General features: G+C 42.7%; 1 protein-coding gene across 28 annotated transcripts in view, besides 3 other annotated features; it reads left to right on the top strand.

The window, feature by feature from the left end:
- AFF3 (ALF transcription elongation factor 3) overlaps window positions 1–24,219 on the top strand; it is a 597,172-nt gene extending 572,953 nt beyond the window's left edge. For 24 of the 28 annotated variants that reach the window (NM_002285.3, XM_047444286.1, NM_001386135.1 and 21 more), the window contains 7 exons: window positions 723–786; window positions 4,015–4,151; window positions 9,202–9,273; window positions 10,670–10,763; window positions 14,906–14,955; window positions 15,104–15,327; window positions 18,043–24,219. In NM_002285.3, the coding sequence (NP_002276.2) occupies window positions 723–786; window positions 4,015–4,151; window positions 9,202–9,273; window positions 10,670–10,763; window positions 14,906–14,955; window positions 15,104–15,327; window positions 18,043–18,164 (763 nt within the window). In that variant the 3' untranslated portion in view covers window positions 18,165–24,219. The remainder of the gene's footprint in view (window positions 1–722; window positions 787–4,014; window positions 4,152–9,201; window positions 9,274–10,669; window positions 10,764–14,905; window positions 14,956–15,103; window positions 15,328–18,042) is intronic. The other 4 variants (XM_011511171.4, XM_047444285.1, XM_047444289.1 and 1 more) reach the window with 1 other exon arrangement.
- Window positions 13,737–14,243: an enhancer, noted in NCBI's record as "NANOG hESC enhancer chr2:100171857-100172363 (GRCh37/hg19 assembly coordinates)". NCBI's record gives its function as "activates a minimal SCP1, AML or CMV promoter by ChIP-STARR-seq in naive H9 embryonic stem cells {active_cell/tissue: H9 hESC(naive)}" and the evidence as "EXISTENCE:reporter gene assay evidence [ECO:0000049][PMID:30033119]".
- Window positions 14,627–15,174: an enhancer, noted in NCBI's record as "H3K4me1 hESC enhancer chr2:100170926-100171473 (GRCh37/hg19 assembly coordinates)". NCBI's record gives its function as "activates a minimal SCP1, AML or CMV promoter by ChIP-STARR-seq in naive H9 embryonic stem cells {active_cell/tissue: H9 hESC(naive)}" and the evidence as "EXISTENCE:reporter gene assay evidence [ECO:0000049][PMID:30033119]".
- Window positions 15,175–15,723: an enhancer, noted in NCBI's record as "H3K4me1 hESC enhancer chr2:100170377-100170925 (GRCh37/hg19 assembly coordinates)". NCBI's record gives its function as "activates a minimal SCP1, AML or CMV promoter by ChIP-STARR-seq in primed H9 embryonic stem cells {active_cell/tissue: H9 hESC(primed)}" and the evidence as "EXISTENCE:reporter gene assay evidence [ECO:0000049][PMID:30033119]".

Below are 25,260 nucleotides of genomic sequence, written 5' to 3'. Positions count from 1 at the left end.
GTCTCTGGATGAGTTACCTTCATCTCCCGGCAGAGTCACCGCTGGCCAGGGTTATTGCTTTAATAATCCACATGTCTGCTGTTAATGTTTACCAGCTAGCTAATCAGAACTCTAGAGAATACATGGCATGTTTGCATTGTTACAAGGTAGACATCATTTTACAATTAACTTCATTACAACTGGAATGTAATCATCCAACATTACCTCTTTTTATTTTTCACTGTGAGGCTTTAAGATAATTCAATATATACATAAAACTCTAGGTACTAGATATGCATATAAATGACACTTATTTTCATAAGGATACATAAATATACTCACCCATATATAGCCATACAATTATTATGAGGTATATTTACAATCTTTACATTAAAAGGGGATTGTTTTATGTAAATATTACCTAAAATAAGATTTCTCGCTTTTTTTTTAACCATACAATAAAAAAATATATTCACAAATTAGGCCCTAGGGGGCCATGTTAAATCCACTGTAAATAGAGACTACTGGCGTATGTTGAGTGTGTTTCGAATTGCTAACTTAAGAGAAAATGTATTGTGGTATTTGACATACAGGCAGTAGTTTGGAAAGGCAAAAAACACACTTAATTCCGCATTAAGCAGAGTTTTTAAATTGTGCCTTAAGTTTGAGTGAAAGGAAGGAATATTTTAAAAAGACGTTGCACTTAAGCCATAATGACGTTTAATATCATTCTCTCCTTGTAGGCCTCGCAGTGCCGATTATTTTATGCAAGAAGCTAAACGAATGAAGCATAAAGCAGATGCAATGGTGAGACCCTTTTCTTTCCAGATACGTTCTTCCAAATTATGTGTGTACTGCAGCTTCATCACTGGGACAATATAGCTGGGGTAATTATAAAATCTATTACAAGGATGGCCGGGTCTGTTCAATGGAGAAATGTTTATATAATCAAATGTTCATAGCCCAATAAAGTATGACTTCAACCAATAATGCCTGACTGGGAAAAAGCCCTAGACAAATGAATATTTCAATTTAGTCCTAAGGTTTGAATAGTAACTAGAGCCAGTGGAGGCAGTGGGCGGTAGTATTTTTTTTTCCTTTAAAAAGTAAAATCTAGATTTGCATTTTTCTCTTGTTAGCCTGACAAACCCTTGGCTTGGTCCCAGGATCAAATCTCTTTTCAAAAACACTTGTGTTCTTCACATGTATCTGCCGAAATGAATGCTTTCTCTGAAACTGTACAACACAGAAACTATTATCTGCACGTAAGACTCTAAAGTCACCATGATTTGATGTTTTCAAAGAATAACTTTTCTTGCTTGGATGATCTCCTGTTTTGGAAAGCTTGAAGCTCTCAGGCAAGAGATGGAAAACTTTGTTTTCTTTTCTAAAAGAGATCATGTGGTTGTTCCATCTTAAATGAATGAAGTCCAAAGGGACATCTTCCCACCTAGTAATTCCAGTTTTAGTCTCCTCCAGTGTTCATAACTGAGATTGAGGCAGGTGCTGGAAATGAAGAAGGCATTTCCAGTGACCTTCAGAATACTGAAGATGTTTAAACAGTAACAGTACCCCTCTTCCAATGCTACCAGTGTCACCTATTAAACACTTATTTACGTGAAGACCACTGCCTATGTACACTGGGGTACAGGAGGAATAACCCCTACGTATCAGAAAATAGAGGAGGGCAGCGGAAGGTACAGCTCTTGTCCACACAATCTGAGTCTGATGGACAGTTCTGGTCATCTGGAGAAGCCAATGAATGGCCACTCTTGGAGAAGAGCATCAGATTTTTAAGGAGAAAGAGATTTTCTGCCTGAATCCAGCATCTAAAGTTTACAGCATTATTCATTCATTGTCCTCTTGCCCAACCCTATCTTTCCTGTTGACGATTTCCCAAGAGGAGACACTCTGCTCCAGCCAGGCTGGTCCCCTACTGACCTCTAAGCACACCTTGCTCCTGCCAGCCAGCGGGCCTTTGCACCTGCAGAGATTCACTCTCACACACTCTCATGGGCACACTCACACCCTCAGCATCCTCCCCAAATCTAGCCAAACCCTACCATTCCTTCCCGGCGTCATATTCAGTCTCCTCCCTGTGGCCTTCCCAGCCTCTCTGCGGCCCCATCACTAGCTCACTTTCCTCCATCTCATTTGCACTGGATGCCTCATTTTGTATTTTGTTGGGTAATCACAGACTGCCTTGCACTTTGAACTGTCTTGTAGGTGTACATTTTCTCTCTCCAAGTCTATTATATGTTCCTGGAAAGAGCTTTCGCTTGTGGAGTGCACATACCACAGAATTGGGTGCTTTAGGAAATATTAATACTAAATGAAATGACTTCATCTGAAAGTGTTATCAAGAAATGTTGCATTATAGGCCAGGCACGGTGGCTCACACCTGTAATCCCAGCACTTTGGGAGGCTAAGGCAGGTGGATCATTTGAGGTCAGGAGTTCGAGACCAGCCTGGCCAACATGGTGAAACCCTGTTTCTACTAAAAATACAAAAAAAAAAAAAAAAATGAGCCAGGTGTGGTGGTGCACACCTGTAATCCCAGCTACTTGGGAGGCTGAGACAGAAGACTCGCTTGAACCCGGGAGGCAGAGATTGCAATGAGCCAAGATCATGCCACTGCACTCCAGCCTGGGTGACAGAGTGAGACCCTGTCTCCAAAAAAAAAAAAAAGAAAAAAGAAATGTTGCATTATAGCCTACACTACCTTTATAAGCAGTTTAAAATTTTGATTTGCTAAGGAGAGGAAGTTTTGCTCTGCATTTCTGGTTTTGAAGCTATCATTACTAATGAAGTTTTTTTTGTATTTTTAGTGGCAAGACTTGGAATAGTATTTGAGTATTATGTCATTCTGTTTTAATTGATGAATGAATCATTTGAAAACTGGGGAGATTCTGCAATCCAGAGTTAGAATATGTAATTACCTACAAAGAGTAGTAAGGTATGGAACCAGGAACTTGATGCATAAGTTTAGACTGATGAGATCTTAAGAATATAAAGCTGATTTGTGGCTGCCCTTGCTGATGTGGGGAAAGAATAACACAAATTTCGACAGCTACAGATAATCCCGTAGAAATGTGTTTTGTTTTGCCTTTAGAGACAGCGTCTTGCTGTGTTATCCAGGTTGGAGCACAGTGGGGCGATCATAGCTCACTGGAACCTCAAACTTCCAGGCTCGAGTGATCCTCCTGCCTCACCTTCCCAAAACACTGGGATTACAGGCATGAGCCGCCAGGCCCAACCAAAAATCATTTTTATTAATAATTTTCAACTTTTTGTCCTATTTTAGCAAAGCTGAAATAGCTCCTTGAGGTTTATCTCCTCTCCTTTCCCCTACTCACTCTCACTCTTAAGTGAGGTTCTAAATATTAACAACAACAAAAAAAAAAAACAATTGAGGCCAGGTGTGGTGGCCTATGCCTGCCTGTAATTCCAGCTACGTGGGAGGCTGAGGCAGGAGAATCGCTTGAACATAGGAGGCAGAGGTTGCAGGGAGACTCCATCTCAAAAATAAAAAAATTAAAAAAAATTGAGAAGAGGAAGGCATGGAGATATAAGTGCCACAAATAATGTAAAAGATAATAACCAAGGCCTAGAACCATCCAAGTTGGGGATGTACCAAAAGAAGTATGAAAACTCTTATATGGGACCAGACCTACCAACTTTGATGCATATTTAGCATAGCATGGAGGAACAAGGAATGAAGTCGCCAAACCATTAGGGGTTAGAAAGAGGGAAACAGAAATCAGAGCAGCCATGCAGTTCTGAGCTCTGTTGATTGACAGCTGTCACATGGGTTTGATACAATTCTGTATATAACTGTTCGCTCACTTACTCCAAGCCAGTAGCAGTTTGAGAAAATAAGTAGGAAAAGAAGTATTCTATTTCTTTCTTCTCTCAGCTTCATAGGATTTTAGAAGTCAGAGTTGGGTTTCTCAAATAAGGTGTATAAACTACATGACAATGCCATTTAAAAAAAACTATTGTTTAGGAAGACACTGTATTAACTCTGTTGATCAGGTGGAAAAGTTTGGAAAGGCTTTGAACTATGCTGAAGCAGCATTGTCGTTTATCGAGTGTGGAAATGCAATGGAACAAGGCCCCATGGAATCCAAATCTCCTTATACGATGTATTCAGAAACAGTAGAGCTCATCAGGTAAGCACCGTGTTTTCTTGCTGGATGAGGGGAGGAGTGAGGAATGTGTGGAAGCACTATGGTTACAGAGAAAAGAATGTCAGCCTGCACCATCCCCCACCAGGAACCAGTGTTCATCCCCCCAAAATAAGAGGGTAAGGTCGTGCAAGGCGTCTTGGCACACCCTGCCCCCTCTGTCCTCCGTGAGCAAGGGGGGCAGCTGCTGTAGCCCCCAATTGCTGAGGGAGGAGGCTGAGTCTGAGTGGGCTGTGACATGCCTGCTCCTCTCAGCTAGGAAGTGGCAGATTTTGAGCCTATTTCAGCCCTAGGCTGCTTTAAAAAAAAAAAAAAATCTGGTTCAGGTTAGTATCATCTAAATCTTAGCTCCATCAGTAAATACTTCTGGAGTATTTAATGGAAGAACATTCAGGAGGATTTTATGGAAGGAGAAGCCATCTTATACTGTCTGGTCTAAAAACTGGACATGGGCACCATCCCCAAACCTGGGTGAAGACCTGTGAGCAGACGTGTCAAGGCATTCGATGGCAAACACTTATCCTCCATGATGGAGACCTGGAAAGGCACCTCCATCACATCTCTGTAACCAACAGTTAAGGGAATTTCATCCATTAGCCCTACTGAGAACCTTCATAGTATGGTTTATGTTTTTAGCCAGTTTAACTGCTTGACATAATGTCTAATATCCATAATGAGAAATAATTCTTCCTAAAACTAACTTTTAAAAGTTTTTCTGATTCTGGGGTTCTGTGCAATCAAAGCTTAGACATTTTCCACCATGTCCAAACATTCTGCATGGAAGATTTCTAATCATCTTAGGATGTGATCTTTTTGGTCTACATTGGCCCAAAGATGCTACTTGGTGTTTTACACACCACTTTCCCTCAGTAAATAGTTTCCAGCCTTTGAAACTGTCATGCCGACATCAGAGAACACATCACCTCCATAAAGCATTTTTCAAGAATGTTTTAAAGTCAACACTGCCCATTTTTCTTAATAAAGTATTTCTACTAAATCAATATATTGGTGAATCCTTTATACTGTCTTTTTATATGGCACATTACTTTCAGTAGTGATGAAATGAAAGCAGCAAAGTAAAAAGACTGGTAAAAGTTACTCTAACGGATCCTAGATCCATACATTCCTTCCTCAGAACAAGGCCCAGCCTGAGATGTTCATAGGCAGGCAGGGAGGAAAGTGGGAGAAACTGGACAGGGACAAAGCTGGAAGATGCCCTAGAGTGTGAGTACCTTGAGCACAGGGAGTTTTTTGGGTTTTGTCTGATTTGCTAACTGGGGAATCCTCAGCCCTTCGAATATTTTCTGGCACATAGTATGTGCTTAATAAACAATTAAGGAATCAATGAATAAGCAAGCCATAGGGCCTGCTGTGAACTGGAGTATCATGACCTGCTTAAAGGCATTCACACTTGAAAATCAAACAAGCAAGCCCAAACAAACAAAAAACCATGCCAGCCAGATATACCATCAAAGAGAGGGTGCTGGGGTACCACACCCACTGTGCCCACTGATGGAAGTAATCTTTCACAGGTAGAGAACACTGTCCACCTTCTAGATACTTCAGAATCGATAGAATCACGCAAAATACAGAGAAAACAAAGACAAAAAGACAAATTTGGCTCTTTTTCTTTCTTTCTTTTTTTTTTTTTTTTTTTTTTTGAGACTAAATTTCACTCTTACTGCCCAGGCTGGAGTGCAATGGCACAATCTCAGCTCACCACAACCTCTGCCTCCCGAGTTCAAGTGATTCTCCTGCCTCAGCCTCCCCAGTAGCTCGGATTACAGGCATGCACCACCACATCCAGCTAATTTTGTATTTTTAGTAGAGATGGGGTTTCTCCATGTTGGTCAGGATGGTCTTGAACTCCTGACCTCAGGTGCTCTGCCTGCTTCGGCCTCCCAAAGTGCTGAGATTACAAGCGTGAGCCACCGCACCTGGCTAGCTCTTTTTTCAACCTACATTAGAAAATAGCATTAATTTTCTGGGCGCGGTGGCTCACGCCTGTAATCCCAGCACTTTGGGAGGCTGAGGCAGGCAGAGCATGAGGTCAGGAGATTGAGACCATCCTGGCTAATACGATGAAACCCCGTCTCTACTAAAAATACAAAAAATTAGCCGGGCGTGGTGGCCGGCACCTGTAGTCCTAGCTACTCAGGAGGCTGAGGCAGGAGAATGGCGTGAACCTGGAAGGCGGAGCTCGCAGTGAGCCAAGATCGCGCCACTGCACTCCAGCCTGGGCGACAGAGCGAGACTCTGTCTCAAGAAAGAAAAAAAAAAAAGAAAACAGCATTAATTACATCCGCACATTGCCCACCCTGCCTGACCCTCCTCTCCCCTACTGAGACACTGAAGGGCCTGGAGCGCTGGCAAGGGGTTCTCACCACCAAGATGACCTAGCCCAGGATGTACACTTTGTCCCTACGGGCAGAATTCCCTTCACCAGGGAACTCCAGATGGCCAAGCAGGCGTGGGTCAGTGGAGCACTGCCACCACACGAGCTCAGCCTGGTGACCCTCTCCTCCCACCCTTCCACTCTCCGCAGGCAGTACCATCAGGGATGAGCTGAAGCCCCGGTGGCACCAGATCAACCACACAGACTAAAATAGTATCAGAAAGGCTCTGAAAATTAAATTATCATTGGAACCACAGCCCCCAAAGTAGGCTAGGGCCTTCCTGCTAGACCTAAACAGGGTGGCTGGGTTTAAAATAGGACTCAAGAGTCTCCTAACCTAATGGTCAAAATGTCCAGGATACCATAGGAACTCACTCATCATACCAAGAACTAGGACAGTCACCACTGGCATGAAAAAAGATGATCAGAAGACCTCAATGCAAAGATGAATCAGTTGCTGCAATTATCTGACAAGGATTTTTAAAGCAGCCATCGTAAAAATGCTTCAATAATCACAGTTATCACTCAACAAACAAAACCAGAAAATCTTTTCAAAGAAATGGAAGTTATTTTAAAAAGAACTAAATGGAAATTGTGAAACTGTAGAATTTGATAATATAAACCCCAAAAATGGACTCAGTAGTAGAGTGGAGATGACAGGAGAGAGTCAATGAACTTGAGGACAAAAAATATAATTTACCCAATCTGAGCAGTAAAGAAGAAATAGACTGAAAAAATTAAATGAACACAGCCTCAAGCACAATAAGAAAAAATCCAACATTTGTGTCATGGAAGTCTCAGAGGAGAGGAATAGAGAGTAGGACTGAGAGAGTATTTGAAGAAATAATGGCTGAAACTTGCCAAATTTGTCAAAAGACATAAACCTACAGATTTAAGAAGCAGAGAAAAACCTAAATAAGATAAACCCAAAGAAATGCATGCAAAAACACACCATGATTACATTTCCAAAAACTAAAGGCCAAATATCCTGAAAGCAGCCAGGGAGAAACGATAATTATCTGCAGGGGAGAATCAATTCGAATGACAGCAGGCTTCTCTGAAACCATGCAGGCTGGGAGGGAGTGGCGTGACAGTTTCCAAGGGTTCAAAGAAGGAACTGTGAAGCCATGAATTCTAGAGTCAGTGAAACTATTCTTCAAGAATGAAGGGAAATAAAGATAGCCTCAGATTTAGGAAAAGTACAAGTATGTGTCTCTAAAAGACCCACCCTTAAAGACTGGCTAAAAGAAGTTTCTCAAACAGAAATAAAATGACAAAAGAAGGAATATGGGAGCATTGGGAAAGAAGGAAGAACAGACACATAGATATATATACAATAAACTACTCCTTATGAGTTTATAAACCAGGTTTGAGGATTGAAACAAAAATTATACCAGCAGTCCAGGCACAGTGGCTCACATCTGTAATTACAGCACTTTAGGAGGCCAAGCTGGGAGGATAGCTTGAGGCCAGGAGTTTGAAACCAGCCCAGACAACATAGTAAGACCCCACTGCTACAAAACAAAACAATAAAAAATTATACCACCATCTGATACTCAAGACAATGCTATTTTTAAGTGGGGAAGGTAAAGGTATCTAAATTGAAGTAAGACTTCCATACTATCCCAAAGTGATAAAATGTTGATACCAATAAATTACATGTATATTGTAAAATCCAGAGCAACCGCTGTAAAAATTATGCAAAGAGATAACACTGAAAAATGCTACAAGTCTGCATGTTGAGGAGATAGTGCGATGATAACAGTATGTTTCTTGAGCAATTTACAAGCCAGCCAACTATCCCAAGAGCTTTACAAACGCTATCTTAGTTAATTCTTAACACAATGTTATGTGATTGGCAGTATTAGTCTTATTTTATAGATAAGGAAATGGAGGCTTAAAGATGTTAATACATTTGTCTAAGCACTTACAACTTATAAGTCGCTGAGCTGAGATTTGAACCTAGGACAATCTGATCATTACACATACTGCCTCAGCTCTCTCAAAGAGTCTGCATATGTAATTTGGTATGTTGTTGGGAGAAAGCAATGGCCACAGTCCCCTTGGTTCAGAAAAATAAATGGAATTAAGTGCAGTCCATAAAAGCCACTAGTTTCTCGTAGTATCTGTCTGTAGAAGCAAACAGAGATTAAAAATGTACTCAGGACACTTATGTAGCTGTCAAAGTAAAAGTTACATAACAAAGAAAGAGGGGTAAATCTAAGCATTCCTCTGCATACCCAGGATGGAAATTCTTCTGGAGGTAAGCACAGAAGGATAGAACTTCACCTCCATCTGTCAGACACTCAGCCATAAATCAAAATGTGGAAAAATGGACATGTTAGCATATACATGAATAGTTCTTGAACTGGTATCACTCCCGACAATCTGTAGCATTTGAACTTGTACTGTTAAAGAGCAGAAAGTAGCTGTTCTAGTCATCACAGTAATGTAATACTTGGGAAAATGGAGCAGCACCAGCTAGCTTTTAAGAAAGAATTATCAGCAAGTACTATGAAAAGCTAAGGATCAGGCAGGGAGAACTACCATCATAGAAGTTCTGTTAATAAAAAAGCTAGTTTTACTATTTCTTTGCTTTTTATGTTTTTTATTCTATTCCTCCTCCCCGCTTTTTCTAAGGTATGCTATGAGACTAAAAACCCACTCAGGCCCCAATGCCACACCAGAAGACAAACAACTGGCTGCATTATGGTGAGTGCCCATCTCCGCTTAGAATAGCAGCCCCAGCCTCGCATGCCATCATTGGCAAACCAGGTGCTGAAAGGCATAGTGTTTGCCCAATGTCTTCTAACATACAAAGCCCCAGAGCAGTTCTAATGACCAGGGAAAGTCCAGACCATTTTTTGCTGCCGTACTATACATGATCTGAATTCACAGTGATTGAAAATCGACAGGCCTACCAAAGTGCTGGGATTACAGGCATGAGCCACTGTGCCCGGCCTAATTTTTGTATTTTTAGTAGAGATGGGGTTTCACCATGTTGGTCAGGCTGGTCTTGAACTCCTGACCTCAAGTGATCTGCCTGCCTCAGCCTCCCAGAGTGCTGGGATTACAGGCGTGAGCCATCGCACCCGGCGCAGCCGCTTACTTTGAAAATGATGCCACAGAAAAAAGGGAACGATCGGGTAACCTATAGTTCCTTTACCTGTCAGCCCTTTCTTACTCATCAGTAGGTGGAAGGCAGAGAATGTTGATAGAATACATGTCTACCAAGCAGTGAAATAAAGACAGTTGAATTAAAAAATAATAATAACAGCAACAGACACAAAAAAGGTCTCAAATTGTTACCTGTCCTGGATTTGGTTGGTAGGAGGAGATGGTGCCATTGCACCCAGAATGTTGGTATTCTGGATGTCAGCATCAGATCCGAGTTAGCAAATAACTGAGTGAAGAGCTCCAAGGAAGAGAGGATAAGTCTCAGAAACGCCTTTTGTGCCCCTTTCAAACTTTAAGTCCCATATTGGAATAATACACTAAATGACAATAATATGATTATATAAGATAGAATACTGATATATAAATAAGTATACAAAATATTATAGGAAATAATAAAATGATGGCACCTATTCCCAGCATAGTGTTTTTGTTGTTTATAATGATGGCACCTATTCCCAGCATAGTGTTTTTGTTGTTTATAAAGTACATTCATGTTTGTGACTTTAGTGGAGCTGCTTATAGTTCAGTAACATCAGGTGGCAGCGTCGTCCTTTCCGCAGAGCGGGGCTCGCCCGCGAAGCAGTGAAGGCTGCGTACTAGAGCTACCTCGCGCCTCTCGTGGAGAGACAGCGCCCTCTCGTGGTGGAAGAAGGAAGCGGCCGGCCCCTGTGACCCAACAGAGTGATTCACCTAATGCTGTAAAATTATCTAGTGATAAATGTATTTATGGAATACCTTCTTGGAATTTTGAATTCTATTTTTGGACAAAAGATGTTCCCTCACAGACATTATATGCACGTATAGAAAGATTTCCTATGTAGAAACAAGGTATTGTTATTGAGTACCTTAGAACAACAACAAAAATGTTTAAGTCTTGTTTGCGCACGACGCACTCAGCCGCTTCTGGGCCTGTTTCTCTTTTCGCCTGCAGTTACCGATGCCTGGCCCTCCTGTACTGGCGGATGTTTCGACTCAAAAGGGACCACGCTGTAAAGTATTCAAAAGCACTAATCGACTATTTCAAGGTACTGTCTAGTGAATGAGCAGAATTGTTCCTTAATTTCACTTGTCTCCCTGTCAAATTTGTGAAGCACCTGGTAGACTCCATTGCTTTGGGGTTAATGCAGGTCACCTCTGGTCCCCAAGGTAACCCCATTTATGCCACACTTGTGGCTTTCAGGCCTCAGAATGGACCTTTGAGAGCCCATCTAATGTATCTCCCTGCCTTCTTGTCCAAGTATTTTTATTTTTTTATTTTTATTTTTTTATGTATTTTTGGAGACAGAGTTTCACTCTTTGTTGCCCAGGCTGCAGTGCAATGGTGCGATCTCGGCTCACTGCAACCTCCGCCTCCTGGGTTCAAGCAATTCTCCTGCCTCAGCCTCCCAAGTAGCTCAGATTACAGGCGCACACCACCACGCCTGGCTAATTTTGTATTTTTAGTAGAGATGGGGTTTCACCATGTTGGTCATGCTGGTCTCGAACTCCTGACCTCAGGTGATCTCCCCGCCTCCACCTCCCAGAGTGCTAGGAATACAGGTGTGAGCCACCACGCCCAGCCTTGTCCAGGTATTTTTATGGCTTCAAGAGAAAGAAGATCCAGTTACTCGTTCCACTGTCCTAGGAAATTCATCTTTATAGCTAACATAAATTCCTCATGCTCACTTAGAGCTTCTTTTCCTTAGAAGTAACCCCTTAGAGCCATTCCCTCTTAGCCAGTCTCTAGTAGCTTATTTAATTTTTAATGGCGTTATTTAAAATGGTAAGAGATGGCTTGTTAGAACTCAGAAGCAGTAGATAGCAGTGTGTAGCTATAGGGATAAAATTGCAAACCATGCCACCTTTTACTTATCTCAGGGAATGAAATTATTTTCACTGGGAGAATAAATTTTTAAAAGCCTTCGCTGATGTACTGTTGTGAGGTCGACCTTACATTAATAATTAATTTGAGATTTCTGGTCCTCTTCTCTGTTTATCTATAGAAACTAGAAATTATGCCGTCTCTATCTCCAACAGCCCTTTGTCAGATACACAACCATCATTTGAGATCTGTTCATGCCCAACCTCCTCTAGAGGTGATCTCTAATGGCCAGGCTGTGCTGGGGGTTCCTGGGGTATGTTCAGCACACTGCCTTCCAATTGTGCATGTAGAGTAACCAGGTGCTAGGCCATGGACATCACTTTCTCAGCCCATTGACCGTCCTGTGTCTTCAGGACAAGAACCAGCACTGAGCCTTCCCTTTCCTTCAGGTGCCTAAAGTCAACATCAATAGTGTTCAAAAATCCAGAACGTAAGATCTACTACTAAAGAGAATTATTACAGTCAAGGAAAATGCTTGAATAAAGAAGGAAGCTGAATTCTGTAAGCCGCCAGGGGCTACAACAAACTTTTAAGGGATACAAGTTCTTAATATTCTCTGCAGCCCACTAATACATACAGAATGGGTAGAAAACACGCCAGGCGTGGTGGCAGGCATCTGTAATCCTAGCTACTAGGGAGGCTGAGGCACGAGAATCGTTTGAACCCGGGAGGCAGAGGTTGCAGTGAGCAGAGATGGCGCCACTGCACTCCAGCCTGGGCGACAGAGTGAGACTTTGTCTCAAAAAAAAAAAAAAAAAAGGAAAACACAACCAGAAAATCAGAGTTGCTCCTCAAGGAATTAATGTCATTTACCCTTCATCAAAAGCTATTTTTAAAATTTTTTTAATTAATCAACAACAAATTGCGTGTACTTATGTATAATGTGATGTTTTGATATATTTATACATTGTGGAATGATTAAACCAAGCTAATTAACATATCCATCACCTCACATACTTACCGTTTTTGTGATGGGAACATTTAAAATCGATTCTTTTAGAGATTTTCAAGTATACTATATATCATTATTAATTGTAGTCACCATCCCATACAATAGATCTCCAGAACTTATTCCTGATAACTGAAACTTGGATACAAAGTTTCAAGGACTTTTTTTTTTTTTCTGTCCCGTTCTGTTGCCCAGGCTAGAGTGCAGTGGTACAGTCGGAGCTCACTGCAGCTGTGAATTCCTGGGCTCAAGCAGTCCTCCCACCTCAGCCTCCCAAGTCGCTGAGACCACAGATACACACCACCACACCCAGCTCATTTTTTCATTTTTTGTAGACAGAGGGTCTCCTTGTGTTGTCCAGACCCTTCTCGAACTCCTGTCCTCCAGCGAGCCTACTGCCTTGGCCTCCCAAAGTGCTAGGATTACCAATGTGAGCCATACACCCAGCCTCAAGGGCTATTTAAATGCTACTTTGAGTTCAGAAACCATGAAATCTTTAGGTACCCAAGACAATTTGGCTATATGTGTTTTATCAGTACAGAGCTATCTCTAAAAAAAAAGAACTTTGTTCCTACCGGTATTTCTTGGGCATGGGGCTTAGTGGTAGAGGAAGAGAACTCAAGACTTCTTTTTTTGTTGTTTTTTTTTGAGACGGAGTCTCGCTCCGTCACCCAGGCTGGAGTGCAGTGGCACAATCTTGGCTCACCCTAACCTCCACCTCCCAGGTTCAAGCGATTCTGTCTCAGCCTCCCAAGTAGTTGGGATTACAGGCGTGTGCCACCACACCCGGCCAATTTTTTGTATCTTTAGTAGAGATGGGGTTTCACCATGTCATCCAGGCTGGTCTCAGACTCCTGACTTCAGGTGATCCACCCACCTCAGCCTCCCATAGTGCTGGGATTACAGGCGTGAGTCACTGCCTTCTTCCTCCATTCAGTAGCCTTTACTGGACTGTTTCTGCAACCCCCAAGCCTTTCTCCCCTTCTGCCATTAGTGTTCTTATATCCAGAACATGCATTCTATAGATCACGTTCTCAGAACCACAGGATGAAGTGGAAACAAAGTGATCAGTCCAGTAGCACCAGCTTGAGAAAGGTGTCAGTAACATTGTGTCAAGAAAGGGAGGATAAGCTCCCCTGTTCAGGAAGGTTTCCTAATTCTCCTCATGAAAATAATTGTATTTCCTGACACAGGTAAAAGTGGCATGGTTTGCGGTGTTGTCCTTACATTTACATCTTGCCATTGTAGCACCTCAGAGTTCTGACAGGCCATTTCTTGCCATTTTAATAACACCCGCACTAAAACCAGAAAAATCAGTCACCACTCCATAAAGTTCTTTCTAACCAAAAGAAACATGTTGTCTCTGGAGAACCAGGCTGAGGCTGTTTTCTTGTCTCTGGAAGGGGAAAACTCCCATCAGCATCACAAAGACCGCTTTCTCCCTTAACAGTCCTATGAAGGCATGATTGGGTTCTCAGAGGGGAAATCTAACTGTGCATTGAGCAACTTCCCTAACTAGAGGCAAAACTTTTAAATATCTGATGCAAGCACCTGGCTTGTGCAACAGAACTTCCTAAACCAGAATATTCAGATAAACCAGAATGTTTGAACATCCTGTCTGTTCTGGAAATATATTTTAATCAATTCTATTAGGAATATGCAACAGCAACTTACTTTAAGAAGAAATACTTTTAAACTTCCTAAGTTAAAACAATACAATCTGATGTCATGTATTTTCAGGCACTAAGTAAATGTATGTCGACTGTTTCTGCAAACATGTCCTACTTTTAAATATAAAGTATTGTATATAAGGGGAGATATGAGGGTGTTCCTGCTCTTTTTTCCTTTTAAGAAAAATTAATTTACAATGAAAAAGTAAGGCTGCTTCAAGATTTAACAGACCGTTGGGATTATGACTTAATGTGGTACCTAAAATTTGTACATAAAAACCCAGGCTGTGGGTGAAGCCCTTCACTTACCTCACTGAGGGCTGATGCAGGCACCTTGTCCATGCAAAATAACTTCTAAATCAGAATATTCAGATAAACTAGAACTTTTGAGTATCCTGTCTGCTAGGGAAATACATTTAAATATATTCTCTTAGGAATGTTCAAGAGCAACTCCCTTTAAGAGAAATACTGTTAAACTTCCGAAGTCCAGGCAGCTGTCCCGACTCCCTTCCAGAAAGGGAACAGAGAACTGTGATGGAGACTTCCCAGGTCCAGTTTCTCTGAAGGTGCCTTTTTCCTGCAGTGTCTGCCTTTGCTTCTCTCTGCAGTCACCTGAAAACACGTTCATGTCACCTGTTTCACCTCACGCAGATGGCACTCACTGTCAGTGTTTTTATTTTCTTGCAGAACTCATCTAAAGCCGCCCAAGCCCCATCTCCGTGGGGGGCCAGTGGAAAGTAAGTTCGCTTTTCCAAAGTCAATGCCGTAAGCCAGACAATGCATGGTGCTGGGCCACTGCGCTTTGCTTTCTGTTCCCCAAGGGGCTGCCCTGCCTCGCTTGCTCCCGACCTCGCCACTCTGGTTTTTCTACCTCTCCCCTTCCAGGAGCACTGGAACCCCATCCCCCATGTCTCCCAACCCCTCTCCCGCCAGCTCCGTGGGGTCTCAGGGCAGCCTCTCCAACGCCAGCGCCCTGTCCCCGTCGACCATCGTCAGCATCCCACAGCGCATCCACCAGATGGCGGCCAACCACGTCAGCATCACCAACAGCATCCTGCACAGCTACGACTACTGGGAGATGGCCGACAACCTGGCCAAGGAAAACCGAGGTGAGCGCACACCCCACGGGGAACCAGGGGCTTCCGCCTCCCGGGTTCAAGCGATTCTTCTGCCTCGGCCTCCTGAGTAGCTGGGATACTCACACAGTTGTATATCCTTTCTTCATTTGACATTATATCAGGCATTTTCTCATGTCACTAACTAGTTCAAAAACACCCTTTATGGTGGTTCTATAATAATATCCTAGTACATTGATTATACAGTCACAAAGTATCCTGATTTCTCAAACCATTCCCCTGTTGTTAGACATTTAAGTTCCTTCCAATTTTTTTCCACTGTGACAAATAATGTTGGTGTAAATATCCCTACATAAGTCATTGTTCATATTTCTGGTTATTTTCTTTTTCTTTTTCTTTTTCTTTTTTTTTTTTTTTTTTTTTTTGGTTTGAGACAGAATCTTGCTCTGTTGCCAGGCTGAAGTGCAATGGGCACTATCTCGGCTCACTGCAACCTCCGTCTCCTGGGTTCAAGCGATTCTTCTGCCTCAGCCTCCCGAGTAGCTGGGACTACAGGCATGTGCCACCGCTCCCAGCTAATTTTTTTGTATTTTTAGTAGAGGCGGGGTTTCACCATGTTGGCCAGGATGATCTCGATCTCTTGACCTCGTGATCTGCCTGCCTCAGCCTCCCAAAGTACTGGGATTACAGGCGTGAGCCACCACACCCGGCCATATTTCTGATTATTTTCTTAGGAGGGAGTTGTGGAATAAAATTTGGGGGTCAACAGATACAGATTCTCTTAAGATATATATTGTTATATATATCAACATATGCTGTTAACTCTTCTCCTGAAAGATTATACTAATTTACTATTGGCCCTACAGCAGCAGGTAAGAGTGCAAATCTGAGTTCACTCCATGAAATGCAAACTATGTTCCCATGATAGCATGGGAGCATGATAGCTCCAAAGAGCAAGATGTTCAGGATGAGATAAGGAATGTATGGCAGAGTGCATGAGATTGTAAATAAAACCACATAGTACATAACATGCAGCCCAGAGAAAGTCCAATGAGAATGCCATGGGGGTCAGAAGCCACCAGGAGGAGCTTGCTAGAGGAGCTGGCATGGAACCATGGAACAGGGCTTTGAAAAGCACTTAGATTTTGGGAGGCTGAGGTGAGTGGATCGCCTGAGGTCAGGAGTTTGAAACCAGGCTGGCCAACATGGAGAAACCCCGTCTCTACTGAAAATACAAACATTAGCCGGGTGTGGTGGTGCTCGCCTGTAATCCCAGCTACTCAGGGGGCTGAGGCAGGAGAATCGCTTGAACCTGGAAGGCGGGCAGTGGTTGCAGACAGCCAAGATCGCACCATTGCACTCCAGCCTGGGCGACAGAGCGAGACTCCATCTCAAGGAAAAAATAAAGAAAAGAAAAGCGCTTAGCAGTTGAGTGACTGAAATAGGTGGGGTGGGTGTCACCAGTGGACAAAACAGAAAGGACAAATGTATAGAAATACACGTGTCCAGTTTGGGAGACTGTGAGCAGGCCAAGCTCCAGATGGCACTGCCAGCTGCCTGCTAGATGTCTCCTACCAGAGGGCTCAGTGCCAAGTGTCCAGTGCAGACTTGGCATTGTTCCCCTACCCCTACCTGCTCCTCCTCCTCTGTTCTACCCCTGGATCCCTGCCCTGGCCAACCTCCTAGCCACCTCCCCATCCCTGCCCCAGCAAGTCTTCATTCAGCATGTATGTGAGGACCTTTGAGACACTTCTCCCAGATGCTTACTCCCAAGAAATGTATGCAGTGACCAGCCATGACAGTAGAGTAGCCATATGAATGTGTTTTCCTCTATCAGCCACTAAACTGTGATTTTGAGACAGCAGAGCCCACACAATTCATCCTGCTATCATCCCCTACCCACCCCTGCACCTAGCAGAGTGCCTTGGTACATCATAGATATTTGTTTGTTTTTGAGGCGGAGTCTTGCTCTGTGGCCCAGGCTGGAGTGCAGTGGCACAATCTCAGCTCACTGCAACCTCCTCCTCCCGGGTTCAAGCGATTCTCCCACCTCAGCCTCCGGAGTAGCTGGGATTACAGGTGTGCGCCACCACACCTGGCTAATGTTTGTTTGTATCTTTAGTAGAGACAGGGTTTTGCCATGTTGTCCTGACTGGTCGCGATCTCCTGACCTCAAGCGTTCTACCCGCCTCAGCCTCCTAAAGTGCCGGAATTCCAGGTGTGAGCCACCGTGCTTGGCCACATCATAAACATTTGGTGAAAGGGCAAACCTAGGGAATGTTCAAAAGCTAGAAGGTGACTTCAGTCCAGATGTCTCGTGACCCATCTCTGATTTGCCCCCAGGAACCTGGAGCCTCACCCCTTGGACTCACTCCAGGGGCTCAGCGCATACCAGAATTGAGTACAGGGTGAGGGACGACAGAGCCACGTTCACGTTCAGGAGTGGGAAGCATTACTGGACTAGGAGAATGCAGCTGGAGGATATGGATTTTCTTTGCTATTTGGCTAAGCAAATACTATTCATTTGAGTTAGAAATGGCAGATATCATGTATTTATTTATTTGGATATAGGATGAGTTCCCCATCCTTGGATTTTATTTTGTTCAAAGGAATGCTAAAGTTACATGATGGAACGGAGAATCCTTGATTTATATAGAGACCATGAATGGAATTTTTCCTTACATCAGTTGCTCAGGATAGCACACCTAGCATGTGTGGCATTCTTAACAACTCTTTCTGTCCCCCTAGAATTCTTCAACGACCTGGATCTGCTCATGGGGCCGGTCACCCTGCACAGCAGCATGGAGCACCTGGTCCAGTACTCCCAACAGGGCCTGCACTGGCTGCGGAACAGCGCCCACCTGTCATAGGGACCTCACCCTGGGGCCAGAGTGGGCTCTGGTCTCCACAGATGGCTCAACGTTTTTGGACACTGTGCTACTGAAACTCCCAGCCACAGCATTTATCAGACTGCGGTGAACATTTCCTCAGCATTGAACAATGATCTTTTGCAGGGCATGTGTGTTTGTATGTGTGGGTATATAAGAAGCCGCCTGTGTATGTGTGTAAGATACACAGCTCTTCAGAACACACCTTCTTTGTCTAGTTTCCATAATCCCAGGCTAGACAAAGTGATCAGAGGTTTCTGACTAGAGGAAGTACACACACACACACACACACACACACACACCGTACACTCACACACAATCACAGACACACACTTTCTATTCCATTCCAGTGCTAAACCGTGACTTCTTAGAAAATTCAACCAAAATCTCATGGGTTAGTTAACCAGGTGCAATACAGCACACCAAAAGCTTGACTGCCAGTGAAGATGGACCTGCTCTTATACTGTTGATTACTTTCAGTATTAATATACTATTCCCCAATTATTTTTTGATTGGTATGTATTAATGGGTAATTGAATAATGAAAATAAGCCAGGTATTTTTGTGCCGGAAGTTTACTAGATTGCATGTTACCAAATACCCTGCTCTTCCTCTAATTCCCTTCCCCCATCTGACTCTATTATCAACTAAATGCATTCCAGGCAAACAGATGGACACTCACAGCCCTTCCCAGCCCCACCTCCAAGTAGTATGCAAATGGCACTGAGATTTAGCAAAAACGCGGCGTCTTTGAAAGTTAACAGACACTAAGGTAGCAGTGCCTGTGTGTTGGAGCTCAGTTAGGAGTTGAAGTTTTCTGCACCTGTGATAACAAGCCCACCAGCCACATGCATTTCTTCTTCCTGCCACTGTGACTCGGTGGCTGTAGAGCCACATGGCATTTGTCAGCCAATCTGTTTCAAGTCTTTTCTTTCCACCAATAGCTTTCTTACAGATTTTCTTGGCTAAATGAGGCCATTACCTAGATTGTCCCTTCAGTAGGAGCCTGAATCCTTCGCTTACCAGGCTGAGAGCTATTTGCCATGATAATGCTGATTCTCTCACTCCTCATGCAGAATGTGCACCTGCAGCCCTTTGATGCGTTTTGATTTGGGGGCGATTTTTCAGGCTTTGATTAGCAGGCTGCTTGCAATGCAGAAGATCACAGTTCCTTTCTGGGGCAGCAGCAACCAGAGCCTCTTCCTGTGTCCTGTGTGTCTGGTATGTTTACACCTTGCTCTGAGTTTTTCTCTTGTTTTCTTTTTTTAATTAAGTTTACATTTTAGTTTCTTTGACATCTTGTTTACAGTTTTTGTCTGATGTTTTTTCTTTTGTAGTGTCTTATGCCCTAGATTTAGTCATCTTGTTAAATATATTTGGATATGAAATCTTGACGAAAAGAAAATAACTCCTGAAAAAGAGGGTCTATCTTGCCACACGTTAAAAACAAAAATAATGTCCTTGTGGCCTCTTACTTGATAAAGTTGCACCAGGACGGTCTGAGAAAGGCAGGCGGTGTAATATGTGGTGCAATCCATTTTTTCAAGGTGATGACGGCACAAAATACTTAGACTAGATGCTGATCCATAAACATTCACTGATATTCTTACAGGTTGGTTTGCAGTGTTAACATTTTTGTTAGCCTGATCTGTAGGTGGGAAGTAAGATCATCATAATTCCTTAGCTCTGAGCACTGATTCAAAATTGTATAAATGACTGAACAACTTAGATGATTTGAAATTAATTGAAAATAAGAAGGGCTTGTGGAATTTGCATTTGGCTTTGGCCTTCAAGCATTTGGAAATATTAAGAGAATTTCCATTTTACATGTCTCCAACTGGGGTGCTTCTTACAACCCTTTCACTTTTTTTTTGAGACGAGTTTCGCTCTGTTGCCCAGGCTGGAGTGCAGTGGCACGATCTCGGCTCACTGCATCCTCTGCCTCCTGGGTTCAAGTGATTGTCCCGCCTCAGCCTCCCAAGTAGCTGGGATTACAGGTGTGCACTACCATGCCCAGCTAATTTTTGTGTTTTTAGTAGAGACTGGGTTTCACCATGTTGGCCAGGCTCGTCTCAAACTCCTGACCTCAGGTGATCTACCCGCCTCCACCTCCCAAAGTGTTGTGATTACAGGCGTGAGCCACCACACCCAGCCCTTTCACTAATTTTTGGCAGAGTTCACAATCCCATCCTATGTCAGAAACTTGAACCTAACTTAAGAAATTTTGAGTCATTTTTTTGGAGGACTGAGGCTTTGTTCTACCTACTCTTGAAGAATCCTGATGAAATATTCAAACACATAAAGGGATGGCCCTGGAGGTCTATCCTGCATACCTGGAGAGCTTCTCTGGTCCTGCCCACCTTGAAAGTTGCAGACTTTGTTGTAACATCTATGTGATGAGCTTCCCTGTGAAGCCCCATTTGACAGGTGGGCCAGCAGTGTTTTATCAGCACTCTGATGGCCCACATTTCCCAGGAAAACTTCTTGAAACTTACCGTTGTGGGCAGTGGTCAGAGCGTGTAGTTCTTATGACTGTCTTGTTTCATCTGTGGAGCACGTGTGGAGCACGTTGGTACAGCAGTTTCTGTGGGGTTTGGCATGGGTGATTTTGGTTAGTAACCATCCTCCAATTGTTGCTTGTGAAAGTCATTCATAACTTGTTCCTTTTACTTAGTTTTGTTGTTACTGCTGTTGTTGTTGGTTTGGTTGGTTTTGAGACCGGGTCTGGCTCTGTAGCCCAAGCTGGAATGCGGTGGCGCGATCATGGCTCCCTGCAGCCTCAAACTCCTGGGCTCAAGCAATCCTCCTGCCTCAGCCTCCCAAGCAGCTGGGAAGATAGGCACGTGCCACCACACCCGGCTAATTTTTTCTTTATTTTTTTTGTAGAGATGGGGGTCTCACTATGTTGCCCAGGCTGGTCTCAAACTCCTGGGCTCAAGCGATCCTTTGGCCTCGGCCTCCCAAAGTGCATGAGCCACCATGCCTGGCCTGTTTAGTTTTGTTTCAAGTTGAAATACCTTTCTTGTGTTTTCTAATTAGAAAAGTAATATCTACTCATTGTAAAAACTCAAACAGTGCAGAAATGTAGAAAGTAGAAAGTGTAAGTCCCTGGTTGTCCCTTCTGCCTGAGACAACCACTGCTCACAGTTTGATGTATATCCTTCCAGAGACTCTCAAATTTAAGCAAATAATTTTTATTACCATGTCTTTTTATTTGAAGACGTACATTTGCCTCCAAAGTTCAACACAAGTTCAACTGACCATATCCTTCCATGACCTGAATAGATGCTATCCTTTATCACGATGTTCAATTGCCTTTGAAAGAGAGTAGTCCAGGTATATTCCTGATCAAAATTTGGCATTTTTGATGATACTACTCTACACAGATCAGACTCATGTGCAGAATCGTGCCTGGAGAGAGAGGTTTGGTTAAGACAGAGATTTCTGGAAACATTCAAATTGCAAATGGAAACTTGAAACCCACAATCTAATGAGGAATGTACTGGAAAAATAATCTGAAGAGTTGACAAATTGTGTACTAGATTGAACACATGGAATGCAATGCAATGAGACTTTCTGCACTAAAACTTATCCTCATATGTACAACAATGATGTGTGTATTATATAACAGTGATGTGTACATTTCTGACACCCCATACATAATATACACAGTTTGTATAAATGCATACATTTAAAAATATATATGTACAATACAGCTAACATAAAACTGTAGTACGCCTGAAGGATATTACTAGTGCCTAATATTGAGTATGAGTCACTGCGTGTTCGCATCAACTTGGAAGTGCAGTAATTGTTATAAAATTAATCAGTGCAGCCAACATTATTTATGAATCACATCTTTGAAACTGTGCAGTAGCATATACATATATATTTTTAAATAACATTTTTCACAGTTTTCCAGAGTTACTGTTGAAATCTGCATCACCAAAAAAAAAAAAAAGCAAGATTTTTTTAACAATGTAGACACTCTTCAGACCCAGTAATCTGCGTGTGATTTCCTATTTGTAGATTCCCAAGAGACTTTAGCAGTCACCAGCCTTAATGCATGTACAGGATATTATTGTGACTTAATTTATCTGCAGTTTTTAATCCATGTGAAATTGGAATTTATAAACGGACTTGGATTAAACATGTCTGCCTTTCTAAGGTTGCAAATGTTACATTAAATGATTTATGTTGTAAATGAGAGAAGTTGAGTTGTACGTAAAAGACATCCACCAATTTCTGTGAATATTTTTACACGGAAACTTGAGAATCAAAATACGTTCAAGTCAGTTGTTCTGGCTCCCAGTTTATAATCTCGAAAAGCAATCTTTTTGTTTCATAAATGGCTTAAATGTAGCTCCCACAGATTATCAGTATGAAGTCTGACATTTTTCATGGAAAAGAAGTATGTTTTTCTTCATTATAACTATAGTTTACTATTTGTCTTTGCTATTTCCTGATACATACACATACGCACACACGCGCGCACATGCATGCACGTATGCACATGCACGCTCCCAGTGTCCCAGTGAAGGCTCAACAGGAAGCTTGAGAAGGTCATCTCAATGGCCACAGGGTTCCTGTTCAACCAGTAGCCCTGGGATGCCGCTTTGCTTGTCATTCTTTAGTGTCACAAGTTAGTTCCCTGACTTGTGTGCAGTCAGGGAACTGCACACAACTGAAACCAACATGGTGGAATCATGTTTGCAATATTTGGTTGAGTAAAATAAGATAATTTTGAACTAAAGAAGACGGAGGCATTAGACCAGTGGCTTGACATGAAGCATCCCCTATGTGGGAGGGTAAGTTTGTTAACTTCATTTTTAGTCTTATCTCCAACCCTTTTCCTTATCCTCCTCCCCAAACTAAAGAAGCAGAAACAGCAACAAAAGCAAAACCATCCCTTCACCTGATCCAGCCCATGTCCTTAGATTCAAATATCCTTTGTCTTTTTCCCATTATACCATCTGACATAACTCACTCGTGTCTAGAGAGAAAAATGCAGAAAGGGTTTGTTTGCAGATGGGCAGTTCAGTTGAGTCCTCATTAACCAGGCAGAGGGGTGCAGAAGAAGCCTGACTCAGGGTCACCATGGAGAACTCCTCATCCCAGAGATGGGTGGGACAGGAACTTGGCTTTGCTTCACCAACCACTGAGCTTGATACTCTTTCAGAGGTGGTTTGTGCTAAGAAACACCCAGCAGTCTTTCAAGAACGTTCTCTTCTGTAGCTTTGCCTGCTACACAGCTGAAGTCTGTCCCTATAAGAATTATATTTGTAAAAAGTAATACATTTTCGAAGAAACCCGGATCAAGTGGAATCTTGAAAGTTTTTTTAATGAAAGGGGAAAAACAACCTGACCACATAAACTGCACTTCCAACCATTTGGAACCAGAGTTTATGTCCTCATTTTCCCATTCTCAGAAGAGCACAGTTTTTCAATATTACAACTTCCTGGCAAATAGCACAAGAAATGTTCAGACTTGAGATTTGTGTTCCCTTTGTCCAGATTATTCTGTATATGTCACCAAAGGGGTTAACTTGTTTGCTTGGCATGAGGAAAATTATAAACTCCGTTCTCAAACTAATTACATCTGCCCACGGTTTTGGTTTTTATTATTTTAATTGGCACTCCGAGGCAGCAGGGGGTAAATTTTGTGTTGGCTGCAAGGGGATTTAGGTTCACAGCTCTTACTCACAGTAATGGGAATCAAGGGATTAAATCTCTGTGTGTTACTTTGAAAATCCACCTCTTACAGCCAATTTTATAGACATTGATCTGAGGGTTGAATTCAGGGCACTAATTGCCAGTCAGTACAAGGGTCAGCATTTGTGTTGAAGCACCAGGGGTATTGATGTAGCCTGAAAAGCTGAATCAGGGACTTGGGTTTTGTTTTGTTTTGTTTTTTTTACCCATTTTTAAAATAGGAAAGCTCATCCAGAAATACTTGGATCTAGACATGATATAACATAGCACCAATGTTTAGGATTTTTAGAGTGCTGTTGGGTAATTAAAATAATATCAATGTTCTAGTTTCCTTATCGTTGCTTTTTCAATTTTCCATAAAACAAAACTGAATTTTCCCCAGTATTCAAGATCCCTTTATTTCTAGATGCCCATAGGAGCAAAAAGAAAATACTCAGCAGTGAGGAATGTGCACTACTTCACTAAGCAGCATTCCATCCACAGGAGCCAAGGGTATCTGACTTTTCAAAGAACATTCTTGGAGTCTCCCATCTTACCTTCATCTGTAGCATGAGTGATCACAAAGCCCAAAGGATGGCCATGTAGCTGAGATGTCTGTAATTCTAAGCATGTGTCACATGGATCTTTACTTACAGACACTTCCATAGCATCACCAGCCATCTCTGAGGCCTCTTTAAATGGTGACATAGCAGCATTGACACTTTTGAGTAATTTGCAAACTGATTATTAATCCCTTGAAGTTCCCAGGGCTTCACACACACACACACACACACGTCCTCCTCTGTGGGCTGGGTTGATCTTTTGTTCCTTTAGAGTTTTTCCTTGTAAGTTCTATAAGTCGGATTTCATTTCTTGACTCCTTACTATTAATAGAACAGTTGTTAGCAACAGTGGAGGCTTTAAGGAAATGGAGCTCCAGTGTAAGAATGCACTCATGTTGGGGCCACGCAGTTGGAACAGTAACTGGAGTGCCCAAGCACCCTCTTCCGTTGTCCTGCTGCACCGGGTCTTTGAATAAAGCTCTTCTCTGTGCCTCAGTTTTCTCTATGTGAGGTGTAACTTAACATGTCAATCACCTTACTGAGCGACAGATCTGGGCAAGCTTTTTGAGATACCCAGGTGTCACACTTGACAGGGTTTTAAACATTACTGTAGGAACAGAGGCAAAGGAAGTATATTATGTCTGCAGGCACCAAGGTGCAGACATGTACAATGTGGGAGATGGAATTTTCTCCTAGGGTCTAGATTGGACTAGGATCTAGCAGACCAAGAGGATGACAGCAGGGTAGCCATACCCACCCCCATGAGATGGGAGAGAGACAGGACCAGCCAGGGAAGACACCAGTGAGGGAGCTCCTTCACCTGTG

This window comes from Homo sapiens, chromosome 2, assembly GCF_000001405.40.
Source record: "Homo sapiens chromosome 2, GRCh38.p14 Primary Assembly".
Lineage (NCBI taxonomy): Eukaryota > Metazoa > Chordata > Mammalia > Primates > Hominidae > Homo > Homo sapiens.
This window is presented reverse-complemented; position numbering and strand designations above follow the sequence as displayed.